At 48.6% G+C, this 14,171-nt stretch overlaps 1 protein-coding gene across 2 annotated transcripts, besides 4 other annotated features; it reads right to left on the bottom strand.

The window, feature by feature from the left end:
• Positions 1 to 263: 263 nt before the first annotated feature.
• Positions 264 to 7,929, bottom strand: ITPRIPL2 (ITPRIP like 2). 2 transcript variants are annotated; one of them, NR_028028.2, is made up of 2 exons: positions 7,769 to 7,929; positions 264 to 7,252 (listed from the first exon to the last, which is right to left on the bottom strand). NR_028028.2 is itself a non-coding variant. In NM_001034841.4 (1 exon), exon 1 carries the CDS (start codon positions 7,429 to 7,431, stop codon positions 5,824 to 5,826), a length of 1,608 nt encoding a protein of 535 aa, NP_001030013.1. In that variant the 5' UTR covers positions 7,432 to 7,929; the 3' UTR covers positions 264 to 5,823. The 2 variants fall into 2 exon arrangements, 1 of the variants encoding a protein (NP_001030013.1); NM_001034841.4 differs by having other exon boundaries at positions 264 to 7,929.
• Positions 7,368 to 7,737: a silencer, noted in NCBI's record as "silent region_7242". NCBI's record gives its function as "represses an Ori minimal core promoter by ATAC-STARR-seq in GM12878 lymphoblastoid cells {active_cell/tissue: GM12878}" and the evidence as "EXISTENCE:reporter gene assay evidence [ECO:0000049][PMID:35858748]".
• Positions 7,828 to 7,927: a silencer, noted in NCBI's record as "silent region_7241". NCBI's record gives its function as "represses an Ori minimal core promoter by ATAC-STARR-seq in GM12878 lymphoblastoid cells {active_cell/tissue: GM12878}" and the evidence as "EXISTENCE:reporter gene assay evidence [ECO:0000049][PMID:35858748]".
• Positions 12,791 to 12,880: an enhancer, noted in NCBI's record as "active region_10527". NCBI's record gives its function as "activates an Ori minimal core promoter by ATAC-STARR-seq in GM12878 lymphoblastoid cells {active_cell/tissue: GM12878}" and the evidence as "EXISTENCE:reporter gene assay evidence [ECO:0000049][PMID:35858748]".
• Positions 14,029 to 14,128: an enhancer, noted in NCBI's record as "active region_10526". NCBI's record gives its function as "activates an Ori minimal core promoter by ATAC-STARR-seq in GM12878 lymphoblastoid cells {active_cell/tissue: GM12878}" and the evidence as "EXISTENCE:reporter gene assay evidence [ECO:0000049][PMID:35858748]".

Here is a 14,171-nt window from a genome sequence, read left to right as displayed (position 1 = left end):
GGTTCTAGGCCAGGAAGACTTGAAGATTCAGGATTCCAGGGAGCACACCTGTAGCATTGTGAACTAGCATTTTTTTCCCACCTGTATACAGAGCTAATTCTACACAAGAATGATCCCCAGCCTTAATGCATGGGAAAAGTTTCCCATACACCCAGATGCTCAAAGCAGTTGAGGCTTGTGCAAGGAACTACAAGCCAGCACAGGCACAGGCTGCCCTCCGGGAAGACGAAAGCCCTCCCCAGATCTGACATTCAGTCCAGAGGTTTCTACAAGTTCCTTTATTAATAAAGCAAAATAGAAAAGAACAAGGTCCCCAAATGACCCACATGATTCAAAGTGCAAATTTACTCCAACCTGCAAGAGAAAACGAATGGCAGGTCTTGACTGTGGGGGCCATGGAAATTTGGGGTGATTAAATTGCCTTTGAATCATACAATTGTAGCAGCTGAACCATATCTGATTAACTCTTTGGTCTCTGTTATTGGAACAAAACCGACGCTATGCCTGCAGCCGCCAGACTGCAACCAAAAACACAGTTTGGGGTCAGAAGACATTAAAAATCACAATAAAATAGGATGAATGTTCTAAGTCACGCAACTGAATCAAGGCACCTTTTTTTTTCAAAAGCAAAAAGTTGTTTAACAATATTCCAGAATAGTAGATACTTCAAAAACCAGATTACAGTATATATCATTTTGCTGCACATTTTAGTCTATTTTCTGTATACATAGTCACACATTCTTTACCCTCTCCCAACTTATACATGCTTTATCCCCCCAGTCATGTGCTATGTAGGTATAAAAAAATAAAGTTGTATCTAAACAAGTGATTTAAAAAAAAAAAAACTAACGAATGCCACGATGATAACACTGAACTTGTTTCCCTCTTGAAGGACATTGGAAATGTTACCGAGGTTCATTTTCCCCACCACTGAATCATCTTCCTCCATGTAGACAGGGATGAGAAGTCAAAGTCTTCATCAAGGTCAAAAGCCACATGTTACAGAAAAAGTGACTTACTCCATAGAGGTTACATGAGATGCTCTGGAAGCACTTAGGTTAATTCCTTCACAGTGTTTGCTAGGATGTCAATTTTGGTGGAGCTGCTGAGTCAGAAAATGATAGAGGCCGGCCGCGGTGGCTCACTCACACCTGTAATCCCTGCACTTTGGGAGGCCGAGGCAGGTAGATCACCTGAGGTCAGGAGTTCGAGACCAGCCTGGCCAACATGATGAAACCCCATCTCTACTAAAAAAAAAAAAAAAAAATATATATATATATATATATATATTAGCCAGGCGTGGTGGCAGGTGCCTGTAATCCCAGCTACTCGGGAGGCTAAGGCCCAAGAATCACTTGAACCTGGGAGGAGGAGATTGCAGTGAGCCAAGATCATCCCACCGCACCCCAGCCTGTAAAACAAGAGCAAAACTCTGTCTCGAAAAAAAAAAAAAAAGAAAAGAAAATGATAGAAACATTCAGGGGTGAAGTCTGATCAGAACGACGCTTTTAGGCCAGGTGTGGTGGCTCGCGCCTATAATCCCAACACTTTGGGAGGCCGAGGTGGGAGGATGGCTTGAGTCCAGTAGTTCAAGACCAGCCTGGGCAACATAGGGAGACCCTGACTCTACAAATAATTTAAAAATTCGCTGGGTGTAGTGGCACATACCTGTGGTCCCAGCTAGTTGGGAGGCCGAGGCAGGAGGATCGCTTGAGCCCAGGAGGTCAAGGCTGCAATGAGCTGCAATCTTGCCACTGCACTCCAGCCTGGGCAACAGACTGAGACCCTGTCTCAAAAAACAAAAACAAAAACCTGTGTTCTTGGTAGTTGAAATGGTATGAGCCTAAGAAGCTTGCACCCCAAATCTAGCCACCAATCATCCCTGTAAAGGCACGAGCTAGGATACCACTAACCCCCCAAAATTAATTTAAATGTAAGAATAAAATACAAAGAAACAAGTTATTCTGCAATCCTTCTGATTACTCATCTGCAAACTCCGACAGAGCAAAGAAGTTTACCCCAAATCACCAGGAAGGAAATGCCAAAAACTGGCCCTAAGTGGTTTGATGTAGGATCTGACTCAAAAAGAGCAGCTTCGAGATCAAGTGTCCTCCTGGGAACTGTGAGTTAAGTGTTATCTATGGCTGTGTTAACTTTTTTTTTTTTCTTCTACAATAAAGCTTAACTCTGAGAGATAAAGATGACTTCAAATATCACGCCCCCAAGTATATATAACACTACCATATCCAAAACAAAAAATATGACTGTATACATACTCAGGGTGTTAACTACGTAAGGCAGTGGTCGCAAACTGGTGGCCCCCAGGCTCAAACAAATGTTTGGCCCACATGGTGTTTTGGACATTTTTTTAATTACTTGTTTAAAAATCATCAAGTTTCACTTTAAAAAAAAAAAACCTGATTTCCAGCTTGTTGCCCCATTTTTTTCTGCATGGCTGAGCAATGGCCCCCTCTTTAAAGGTGGGCACAGCTTCCCCCCCACCTCCCACCCCTGTTTCTACAGGCTGCTGAGTTTGCGACCCCTGGTTGGAAATAGCACTAAAAACATGTTTCCTAACCCAAACCTCTCTCACACCCTCACGCCATTTTCACTTCATTTCCCCTTCCCTCTCTTGCTTCACTTTCATCTTAAGTCCTCCTTCCCCAGGTCTTTGGATTTCTCTTGGTTCACTCGAATTCTCCTTTCTTTCAGCTTCAGTTTCATTTTGCAAAAAACATCTCCGCTCAGCCCACGATCATTCCAGGAAGGCTCCCAAGACTGGTCAGTGGGAGTTACCAAAGGGTGTCTCGCCACAAAATGACTGAGTCATCTTCCCCAGAAACATTTTCCTCCAGCACTGGCTGGACAACTAATTTTTTCTTTTTGCTGTTGTTACTGTGGAACTTCTTGCATGAGAATATTTGCATATATGAATCTCCAGTACCAAGCATACACCAAAAATGTGTACATTTCAGATGAAGGACATAACAGAGCCCTAATAAAATACAGAATTGAGCTTAATTTAACTGTCTTGGGCAACCATCATGCCTGGCTAATATGCCATATTATTTCCGTTGTACACAGTACATGTTTTGGTTTACTAAACATTGATCAAAATTGATCGAAATCTCTAAGTTTTGGTTACCATGTACAGAGAACAATTGCTCAGCATGGCATTTAAATAAAACAGTAATATTTTAAAAATTCACAAATACAATGCACAATTTATTTTAAAAAAATAAAATTTAAAAACCTTGAGGATGGATGAGGCTTTGGGTAATTAACCTGAAAAACAAAACTAACAAAAAACTACAAGAACAGTATGTTACCAGATTTATACTTTAAAACACTATTAAAAGAGGAACTCACTGACACTGCTAGAAATATTTCTAAAATTCAGCTTTTTAAAGCTTTTTTTTTTTTTTTTTGAGACGGAGTCTCGCTCGGTCACCCAGGCTGGAGTGCAGTGGTGTGATCTTGGCTCTCTGCAACCTTCACCTCCCGGGTTCAAGTGATTCTCCTGCCTTAGCCTCCCGAGTATCTGGGATTACAGGCGCCCGCCACCACGCCCAGCTAATTTTTGTATTTTTTAGTAGAGACAGAGTTTCACTATGTTGGCTAGGCTGGTCTTGAACTCCTGACCTCAGGTGATCCGCCCACCTCGCCTCCCAAAGTGCTGGGATTACAGGCGTGAGCCACCACGCCCAGCCTTAAAGCTTTATAATCCTTCCAACCCTTGATGTCCCCCACTGTAGTAAACAATGAGTACAGAGGAAGTTGTGGTTGAGTATGGAAATATATATATATATAAAATATGTATACATATATATATATATAAGATCTACTCTTGGCATTTATTTTAAAAACTAATTTTAAAAAATACCGTGCAGTTTCTATCTTTGCATAAAGTTAGCAGACTGACTTCTTTGCACAATGCAGTACCTTATGACCCAACATTGACCTCAAAAGCTAGGAATGACCTTTGCGGGGAACTGTCCCCAAGACAACCTCAAAGAGACAGCACAACATTTGCAGCTGTTTCTCTTTCAGCCCAAGGTCGCAAAGGATATAAGAAGCCAATGCAGCTTGGAGGAGAAGGATTCCTGTAAATCACTCACTATGATTTCCCACAGCAGGCAAGTGGATCCCCTAAAGAAAGAAGGCTTATAGAGTTCCCTCAAAAGAGCTCAGAACTTCAACAATGATTCTATTCACATAGGCATTTCTGTCTTCCAAATTTTAGCTTTAAGAGTCTGAGGAAGTACATGTTTTTATTTAGAAAACAAAAAAATCCCAATTTGTAACACTTGGACTGGCTGCATTTCCAATCAGGCAAGCAGATGAGGGGCCATGCTGAACTTAAACTGCAATTGAGGACTGTTATAAATTTGGGAGAACAAGGAAGAATTCCAGGACCGGCTCCTCCCAGCTGCAAAATACACCCAACCTGGTGATACTGACACCTAAAGAGAAAAGAGACAGACTGCCGTCAAGGGCTGTCTCCCTTGCTCTTTTCCTAATTTGTCTCCTCTGCCCACGACCAGGGAGTAACTGATCTTCAAGCACAGAGCCCAAGATACTGAACTATAAGTGAAATGTTTTGCAAGACCTGTGCTGAATCAACAGGTCTCTTGGACCACGTAAGACTGCCTGGACAAGGAAGAACCATCAATGGTTAGAGACCCAGCACAAACCACATGCTAAGCAGCAGGCATTTCCTCTTCATTAGCTCATTAAGCTCAGAAAGAAATCTCTTTGTGAAGGAGTTTGCTAAAAACCTTAAAACAAAAAAGTTTTCTGTCTCCAGCCAGCAGCCAGCCTTGGAGAAACACCTTTACAGGCAAAGCCTAAAACACATCTTTCTCCAAAGCCAACATGTTTTATGCCTTCACCAGTGTTGTCTTGAATATGTATTTGGTTGCTACTTTGGTTCCAGACATCTCTGGCTGGTAGTAGGTAGTTTAATGAATGGATGTTGACGGACAGGTACATATCCCAGCTTGTGGCCTGCGGCGATGTTAGTTAGGCAAGCATGCTGGCTGCTTTTCAAGGTTGTACATTTAATAATAAATATAACTGGCTTCCCTTTCAGATGCAATGCTTGGTGCTAGCAATTACCACAAAATGAGTGAATTGATCAATATAAAGTGCTATTTTCTCTGGAAGCTTCTCTAACCAACTCTCGATTGCCTTTCCATCTATGTGACTTAACTTGTTGACAATCTTGTCAAACACCTGTGATTGCACCATTTTAAAAATACATTAATATTAATTTGAACAGTGGAAATTATGTTCCTCTAAACATTAGCCCCTAAAATAGAACTTCAATTCCAGTTGCAAATAAAGATTCAGATTTTTCTTTTTAAAGACAATCAGGAACCCAGTACCTAGCAAGTAATTGTGTCAAAAACTTTAGTGTTTTGTTTTGTTTTTTTTTAATTTGGGCAGAGAGATCTGTGTCTAAAAACCGACAGAAGGAACTTTCCCTGCAGCTAGTTCTTGCTTCTTCTACTGGACTTCTCTAAAAGCCACATCCTTCTACAGAATCCGTCTACACAGAACAATATTTGAACCAATTCTTGGGTCTCCTGTTGGATGTCTTCCCATGGTTTGCCCAGGACACTCTAGTGGGTGTGAAGATGTCATATTATACTGGACTGTGAAGCGAGAAGGTGATATTTAAGCCACTAAAGCTTGTGGCAGCCACCAAATTTTCCAATGCCTTCTGCAATCTTGCATTTAACTGGCTTCACCGCCATTCCCACCCCCACCCAGTGGGAAAGGCTTTAGGAGCATTTGGTCAGGTGGGGGTGCTGTCAGGGTTTACGGTTCACCTTCAAGGAAGCCCTGGGTGCGCTGACTCCGGGGTGGGGGGCACCTGGCAAGGTAGCGGGGACCCCCGTAGGCCCGGAGAAGCTGGGGCAGCCTTTGCCACGTGGACAGCAACCGCGCTGCTGCAAGTTCCCGGGCGTGCCCGTCGAAAGCGGCCAGGAGGTCAACTGGGGCGGCTTCCCTCAGTGCCTTGGGCAGGGGACCCACCTCGGCAGCCGCCCCACCAGGGCCCAGGACGCAGTGGAAGAGCGTATGGCGTCGCAGCAGGCAGTCCCTAAGGAACTGCACCAACTCCTCCAAACACCTTCCCAGGTGCTCCTCGTCCCAGCCTTGCCCAGGGGCCCCCTTGCGCAGCAGCACTGCCAGCAGCACTGTCTTGAGCACATATGAGGATAGGATGCGTCCCCACTGGGTGGCGGCCGCTGAGTCCAGCCCACGGGCCCCCAGATCGCGCAGAGCCTTAAGCAACTGCAGGCACTTGAGGTAGCAGGCACCTGGAGCTGCCCGTTCCTGCAGCCAACTCAGCAGCTTCTGCTCCTGGCGTGCTGTGTTCACACCCCACAGTGCCTCCGCACGCAGGCCCTCAGGGAGCTCCAACAGGGGCGCGCTGGGCAAGGGTGGCGGTGGTGGCGCCACAAGGAAGACCCCATCTCCCAGATGGACAGCGGGGATGAGACGCACAGCCATAGAAAGGCGGCAGCAGCCGTAGTCAGTGCGGCAGGGCAAGATGTGTAAGGTGGGGGGCTGTTCCAGGCCACCTGGGGTCAAGGTGACCCGACAGCGCCCCTCCAGGCTGTAACGCACAGTGGCCAAGGAGCGCTGCAGATGCGACTGGAACCAGCGCAGCACCAGAGTAGCAGAGAGGTGACGCCGCCCGCGCACATCCACGCAGAAGGCATCAGCAAAGGGTTTGCAGTCCCGAAGCCAGTGGCCCCCCGAGGCCCCCGATGGTGAGGGTGGTGCCTTGAGGGCGCACAAGAAGCAGCCGCGGAAGGCCGGGGCCAGCGCTGGCTCCTCGCCCAGGCTCCGTGGCTCCAGCGCCACAAGCGGCGGGAGGCGCAGTGGCACCAGCACGTCGAAGCTGTCGGGCCGGCGGATTTTATGTTGCTCGTAGGCGCTGCCCACCTGGATGAAGTCTCCGCGGAAGGCCAAGGCCAGCGCTCCCCCAGGAATGAGACCGGGGGACCCCCGGGCGCGGCCAGCCCGCACCAGCTCGCCCACGATCCGGCTCACGTGCGCCTTGCTGTGGCCCAACACGTGCGGAGACAGGCGCACCTCATGCTCGTAGTAACTCTCCAGCAGGATGCTGAGGCCCGGCTCTCGGAAGTGTCTCGAGGAGAAGGCGGCGTGACCCTCCAGACGGGGAGACCCGGGCAGGAAGCGCTGCCGGACAGCGTGGCGACAGCGCAGGAGGACATAGCTGAGGAGGAGCAGGACGGCCACCTTAAGCAACGGGAAGCCGCCATCCACGCCGTCGGCGGGCTCGGCCCGGGCGCCCCCGCTTCCCCGCAGGACATGGTAGAGGCACACCAGGGCGGTGCACAGGCCGGTCACCAGGGGCCAGAAGACGCGTAGATTGAGGGTGTAGTGCACCGACATGCCGGGCGCCCGGGGCGGCGGTGGCCGAGCAGCCCAGGGGGCAAGCCCCGGCGGCGACCCAAGCCCAGCATGCGCACAGCGCCCGGGCAGCCCCGCTGTCCCCGTCTCCTCCTCCGCGGCGGCTTCCCGAACGCAGGCCCGAGGGAGGCCGCCCTCCAGCTCGGCCTCCTCTCCCAGCTCAAGTGTTCCTTCCAGCTGCGGCCCGCCCTGCGCTCTCGGGCCCCGGGCCGCGCCCTGCCCCGGCTGCGCGCTGAGTCCGGCCCAGCGGCCCTCCCCGCCCGGCGCCCCCGCGCGCCGCCGTCGGCCAGCTTCTGGCCCGGCCTGGCTCGCCTCCTACCCTGGGCGGCCCTCCTGGCTCTCCCGCCGCTCCTCTCCGCGCCTGACCCTGTTACTCGGACCCCGGGAGTTTCCTCTTCCGAGGGGGAGGCGAGGCCGCGCCAGCTAGCGGGGAGGAAATGCCGGAGTCTGGAGCCGAGCGTGGAGCTGGCGAGCCGGGTCGGCCCCCTCCCGGGCCTCCGCCTTAAAGCGACGCGGGGCGGCGGGAGGGACTTCAGGACGCTCTTGGAACTGGCCTCCCGCGGCCCACCCCCATCCTCCCTCCCCGAAGGCAGAATTGGGAAGGCCCTGATTCCGGGGCGGTAGCTTCGTCCAGGGAGCCTCTGGAGTTGCGCTCCCTTGAAGTTATACTGGGACGTTGAAAAGGAGAAAAGGGCGCACAGCCAGACTGTCCAGTCCTCCCCACCCCCACCGCACAAGCTGCGGTGGCGTGGCAGGCCCTGGCACAGGAGTGGCCCTTGCCGTCTGCCGCAGTCGTCTGTTCAAACCAGTATTCACCGAGCACCTACCATGTGCCAGGTCGGAGCCACAGTGCTGGGGAAATCATAGTTGACAAGATGGACAAGGTTTCTGTCCTTCGTGAAGCTTACAGCCTTGTAAAAATGGGAATCAAAAAAGGAAGGGGCTGGGCGCAGTGTCTCACGCCTGTAATCCCAGCACTTTGAGAGGCCGAAGTGGGCGGATCATTTAAGGTCAGTAGTTCGAGACTAGCCTGGCCAACATGGTGAGACCCCCCCCCCCGCCCCCCATCTCTACTAAAAATACAAAAATTAGCCAGGCGTAGTGGCACGCGCCTGTAATCCCAGCTGTTCGGGAGGTTCAGGCAGGAGAATCGCTTGAATCCGGGAGGCGGAGGCTGCCGTGAGCCGAGATCGCGCCACTGTACTCCAGCCTGGGTGACAGAGTGAGACTCCGTCTCAAAAAAAAAAAAAAAAAAAAAAAAAGTGGGGGGAAGGATTCCACAGCAAGAAAACGCTCTAAAATAAACAAAAGTGCCCGAGGGAGTGAGAAGGTGCTGGCTACCCTGTGGAAACCAGAGGATGACAGGGGTGACATTTGGCCTGAGACTTCATCGGAACATGCTGGTTCACCCCTGTAATCCCAGCACTTTGGGAAGCCGAGGCGGCGAGAAGATCGCTTGAGTGAGGCCAGGAATTCGAGGCTGCAGTGAGCTATGATAGCATCATTGCACTCCAGCCTGAGTGACAGAGCAAGACTCTTGTCTCTGAAAAAATAAAATAAATAAAATGAAATGAAATTAAAATAAAATTATTTTCCCAGTGGAGGAAAGGGGCACAAACAGGTTCAGCTCAGGCAGGTTCAGCTGCCCCCCTTCCCCCCTCCCCCACAAGGTTACACAGCCTTTGTAGAGCTGGGCAGAAACCAAGGGGTGGAACTCCCAGGAGGGGGCCCAGGGAAGGTCTCTTCCTCATCTGCTGGGAATTTTGGGGGTCCTTTGTCTGGGTCTACATTGGAACCTCAGTCCTAGGAAGCTTGTTTTGTTTCATAACAGGGAGCACTTCCTGAAATAATCTGATCTATTTAAATAATTGTCTTTCTTTATTCACACTCATTACACCTTCTTTGCTGGCACTGACCTTTAAAGAGAGCAAGGGTGAATATATTAAAACATGTTAGAACCCAGCTGCCACCTGGGAACCAGGACTCAAAAGATGGCTTCTGGGTTGTTCCCAGTAAATCCTAAATTGGGCCCCTGAGAGCTAAGCAGATCTGCCTTCAGATCCCATCTACTAATATTAGCTATGAGATCATCATCTACCAGTCAAGATTCTTAGGTTTGCAAGTGACAGAAACACAGCTCCAACTGGCTTAAGTGCACGCACGCATAGACACACACACACACACACATTATTGTATCATGTTAACTGAGATCCATGAGGGGATTTCAGGTACAGCTGAATCTAGGTGCCTCAATGCTATGCAGACCTGTTCTCCCTTCACTTCTTAGCTCTCTGCTTTTTAAGTGGGCTGTCCTCCCCACAGGTCCTCCATATGCCCTTGGCTGCTGTAGTCTCACATTGTCTTCAGTGCAGAAGAAAAGAGAGCCTTTCCTGTTTTTGTTTGTTTGTTTGTTTGTTGTTTGTTTGTTTTAAAGACAGAGTCTCACTCTGTTGCCCAGGCTGGAGTGCAGTGGCACGATCTCAGCTCACTGCAACCTCCACCTCCTGGGTTCAAGTGATTCTCATGCCTCAGCCTCCTGAGTAGCTGGGATTACAGGCATGCGCCACCACGCCTGGCTAATTTTTGTATTTTTAGTAGAGATGGGGTTTCACCATGTTGTCCAGGCTGGTCTTGAACTCCTGACCTCAGGTGATCTGCCCACCTCAGCCTCCCAAAGTGCTGGGATTACAGGCGTGAGCCACCGCGCCTGGCCAGAGAGGCTTGCTTTTCTCAAAGTTGTGGTAAATGCCATGACTTGGGATAGTTTTGGGTCATATGCTAAAGTCACCAAGCAAGGGAATGCACTGATTAGCATTGCCCAGGTAGTGCCCCCACCAACTCCAATCCAAATCTATGTTGAAACCTTAACGGCCAATGTGACTGTATTTGGAGATAGGGCTTTTCGGCAGTAATTTAGGTTAAATGAGGTCAGAAAGATAGGGTCCTAATCTGATAGGATTGGTGACCTTATAAGAGGAAGAAAGAGAGACGGCTCTCTCTCCATGTGGTTGGACCAAAGAAAGACCATCTGCAAGCCTGGAGAAAAGCCCTCACCAGAAGCGGAATGCTACCAGACCTTGATTTTGGACTTTCTAACCTCCAGAGCTATGAGAAAATAAATTTCTGTTGTTGGAGCCACCCAATCTATGGTATTTGTAGAGGCAGCCTGAGCTGACTAATACAGTTGGGTACCCAGCCCTGGAACCAAGAGGTGGAGTCAGCCCTGTTCAAACTGTGGGAACTGTGGGAAGGGGTGTCTCTCCCCCAAGGAAAGTCATGTTGCTGCGGCTGGAAAAAGATGGATGAGATGTTTTGACATGCAGAGATGACAGCTGGCCACCTCTTTTGGATAACTCTCTTAACCTATCTTTGCTTCTATCTCCCGATCTATAAAATGGAGTGCTACCAACAGAGTGGTTTATTTTTCCCCTGGCAGATATAGTGGTATGCTATCTCCAACTATACAAATAATGGCAATGCTCTAGGTCAGAGTTAGCAAACACTATTTTTTTTTTTTTTAAAGAAATAGGTCTTGCTCTGTTGCCTAGCCTGGAGCACAGTAGCACAATCACAGCTCACTGCAGCCTTGAGTTTCTGGGTTCAAGGGATCCTCCTGCCTCAGCCTTCCAAGTAGTTGGAATTACAGGCATGCACCACCACACCTAGCTAATTTTTAAATTTTTTGTAGACATGGGGTCTCACTATGTTGCCCAGGCTGGTCTTGAACTCCTGGCCTCAAGCGATCCTCCTGCCTTGGCTTCCCAAAGTGCTGGGATTACAGGCATGAGCCACCGTGCCTGGCCTGGCTCACACTTTTTGTAAAGGGCCACAGAGTAAATATTTTAGGCTTGGGTGTCATAAAATCTCTACTATAACTACTCAGGTCCACTGCTGTAGCCCCAAATAGCTGGGTTTGGGGCTGTTGCTTGGCAAACTTCGGCTTGCATTAGGTTGGTGCAAAAATAATTGCGGTTTTTGCCATGACTTTTGTTACTAATAGCTGCATTCCTCTACCTCTGTCTTTTTTTTTTTTTTTTTTTTTTTTTTTTTGAGACGTAGTTTTGCTCATGTTGCCCAGGCTGGAGTGCAATGGCATGATCTCGGCTCACCGCAAGCTCCGCCTCCCAAGTTCAAGCGATTCTCCTGCCTCAGCTTCCCGAGTAGCTGGGATTACAGGCATGTGCCACCACGCCCAGCTAATGTTGTATTTTTAGTAGAGATGGGGTTTCTCCAGGTTAGTCAGGCCAGTCTTGAACTCACGACCACAGGTGATCCACCCGCCTCGGCCTCCCGAAGTGCTGGGATTACAGAAGTAAGCCACTGGACCCAGCTACCTCTGTCTTTATTTGGCCTTCTTCCCTGTGCATATTTCTAGGTCTTTGTATCCAAATCTTCCCCTCCTTTTTCATATAAGGACACTATTCATTGAATTTAGGGCCCACCCTAATCCATCTTAACTTGATGACCTCTACAAAGACCCAAATAAGGTCACCTGCACATGTCCAGGAGTTAGGATTTGAACTTACCTTTTAGGGAGACACAATCAACCCACTACAGCAGCTAGAGATGATCTGTCAGTGAGTGGATAGGGCTGTTCCCATCAAATTTATTTATGGATGCTGAAATTTGAATTTTGTAAGATTTTCGTGTGCCATGAAATACACTTCTTTTGATTTTTTTCAACCGTTTAAAAATATAAAAACCTGCTGGGCACAACGGTTCATGCCTGTAATCCCAGCACTTTGGGAGGCCAAGGCAGGAGGATTGCTTGAGCCCAGGAGTTCAAGACCAGCCTAGGCAACACAGTGAGACCCTGTCTCTAGAAAAAAACAAAACAAAACAAAAAAACTAGCTGGGTGTGTTGGTGCACACCTGTAGTCCCAGCTACTCAGGAAGCTAAGACAGGAGGATCATTTGAGTCTAAGATGTCGAGGCTGCTGTGAGCTGTGAACTATGATCATGCCACTGCATTCCAGCCTGGACAACAGAACGAGACCCTAACTCTAAAAAAATATAAAAACTAATCTCAGCTCGAGGGTCATACAAACACGCTCAATGTACCTGGAGGCTACTGTCACAAAATACCACAAACCAGGTGGTTTAAGCAACAGAAGTGTATTCTTTCAGAGTTCTCAAAAGCAGGAATCTGAAAGGGTGTCTGCAGGGCTGTGCTCCCTTTTGAGGCCCCAGGGGAGAACCCCTCCTTGCCTCTTACAGCTTCCGGTGGCTCCAGGCGCCCCTTGGCTTGTGGCTATCTGACTCCCATCTCTGCCTACATCTTGCATGGCCTTCTCCTTTTCTGTTTCTTTTCTTTTCTTTTTTTGAAACAGGTTCTCATTCTGTCACCCAGGCTGGGCTGGAGTACAGTGGGTGATCATGGCTCTCCACATCCTTGACCTCACCTCCTGGGCTCAAATGATCCTCCTGCCTTAGCCTCCTTGAATAGCTGTGACTACGGTGTGCACCACCACACCCAGCTAATTTTTTATTTTTTGTAGAGATGGGGTCTCACTCACTGTGTTGCCCAGGCTGCTCTTGAACTCCTGGACTCAAGCAATCCTCCTGTCTCGGCCTCCCAAAGAGCTAGGATTACAAGTGTGAGCCACCGTGCCTGGCCTTCTGTTTCTTATAAGGACACCTGTCATTGGATTTAGAAGACACTGGGGTTATCCCATTGATCTCAACTGGAGATCTGTAATTTAAGGATCCTTAATTTAAAGATTCTTAAATCATGTCTACAAAGACGCTTTTTTTCAAAGAAGGTCACATTCACAGGTTCTAGAGGTTAGGATGAAAACATATATTTGGGAGGACCATAATTCATCCCCGCTACACCGAGTAAATGACGTATTACTATTGCTATTTTTCCTGCCTGTAATCTGTTTCCATAGGTCATTTCCTCTAAAGGGCTCAAGGTACAGGCCTCAGAACTTTGCACTTGGCAAATCTACTATATGTGTCAGAGCAAATACAAATGTATTCATTCATTAATTTACTGCTCATATTTGTGGGTTCTTAACATGTGCTAGGCCAAGGGAAATGTGAAGGAAAACACAGGGCTTTGAGCTTACAGACGAAAATGGTACATACACAGTGTGTAGGTGGATTAAGAAAATTGTCACCGTTGGCCGGGCACAGTGGCTCATGCCTGTAATCCTAGCACTTTGGGAAGCCAAGGCAGGCAGATTGTCTGAGCTCAGGAATTCGTGACTAGCCTGGGCAACATGGCGAAACCCCGTCTCTACTAAAAATACAAAAAATTAGCTGGGCATGGTGTCACACGCCTGTAATCCCAGCTACTCAGGAGGCTGAGGCACGAGAATTGCTTGAACCTGGGGGGCGGAGGTTGCAATGAGCCGAAATCGTGCCACTGCACTCCAACCTGGGCAACAGAGTGTGACACACACCTGTAGTACCACCTACCCATGAGGCTGAGGTGGGAGGTTCACTTGAGCCCAGGAGGTTGAGGCTGCAGTGAGTCATGATTGCGTCATTGCATTCCAGCCTGGGCCACAGAGCAAGACCCGGTCTGAAAACAAACCAAAAAAAAAAGGAACCAAAAACCAAAACTCCTTTAGCATTTAATATTTGACAAAGGTCACTCCTATGGCTTTTGTTTTCAATAGCTTAGCAAGTATATATACAGACACTCCTCCCAGAGTTTCTGATGTCTTGGAGGTGTGTCTCACAGAGGATGAATGTGAGCACTGATGAGAGGAAAA

This window comes from Homo sapiens, chromosome 16, assembly GCF_000001405.40.
Source record: "Homo sapiens chromosome 16, GRCh38.p14 Primary Assembly".
Lineage (NCBI taxonomy): Eukaryota > Metazoa > Chordata > Mammalia > Primates > Hominidae > Homo > Homo sapiens.
The sequence above is the reverse complement of the archived record's forward strand: the minus strand, read 5'-3'. Positions and strand labels throughout refer to the sequence as shown.

What these genes read in the sequence shown, in the direction of transcription:
- ITPRIPL2 (NM_001034841.4), bottom strand. Translation starts at nt 7,431, where the DNA reads ATGTCGGTGCACTACACCCTCAATCTACGCGTCTTCTGGCCCCTGGTG.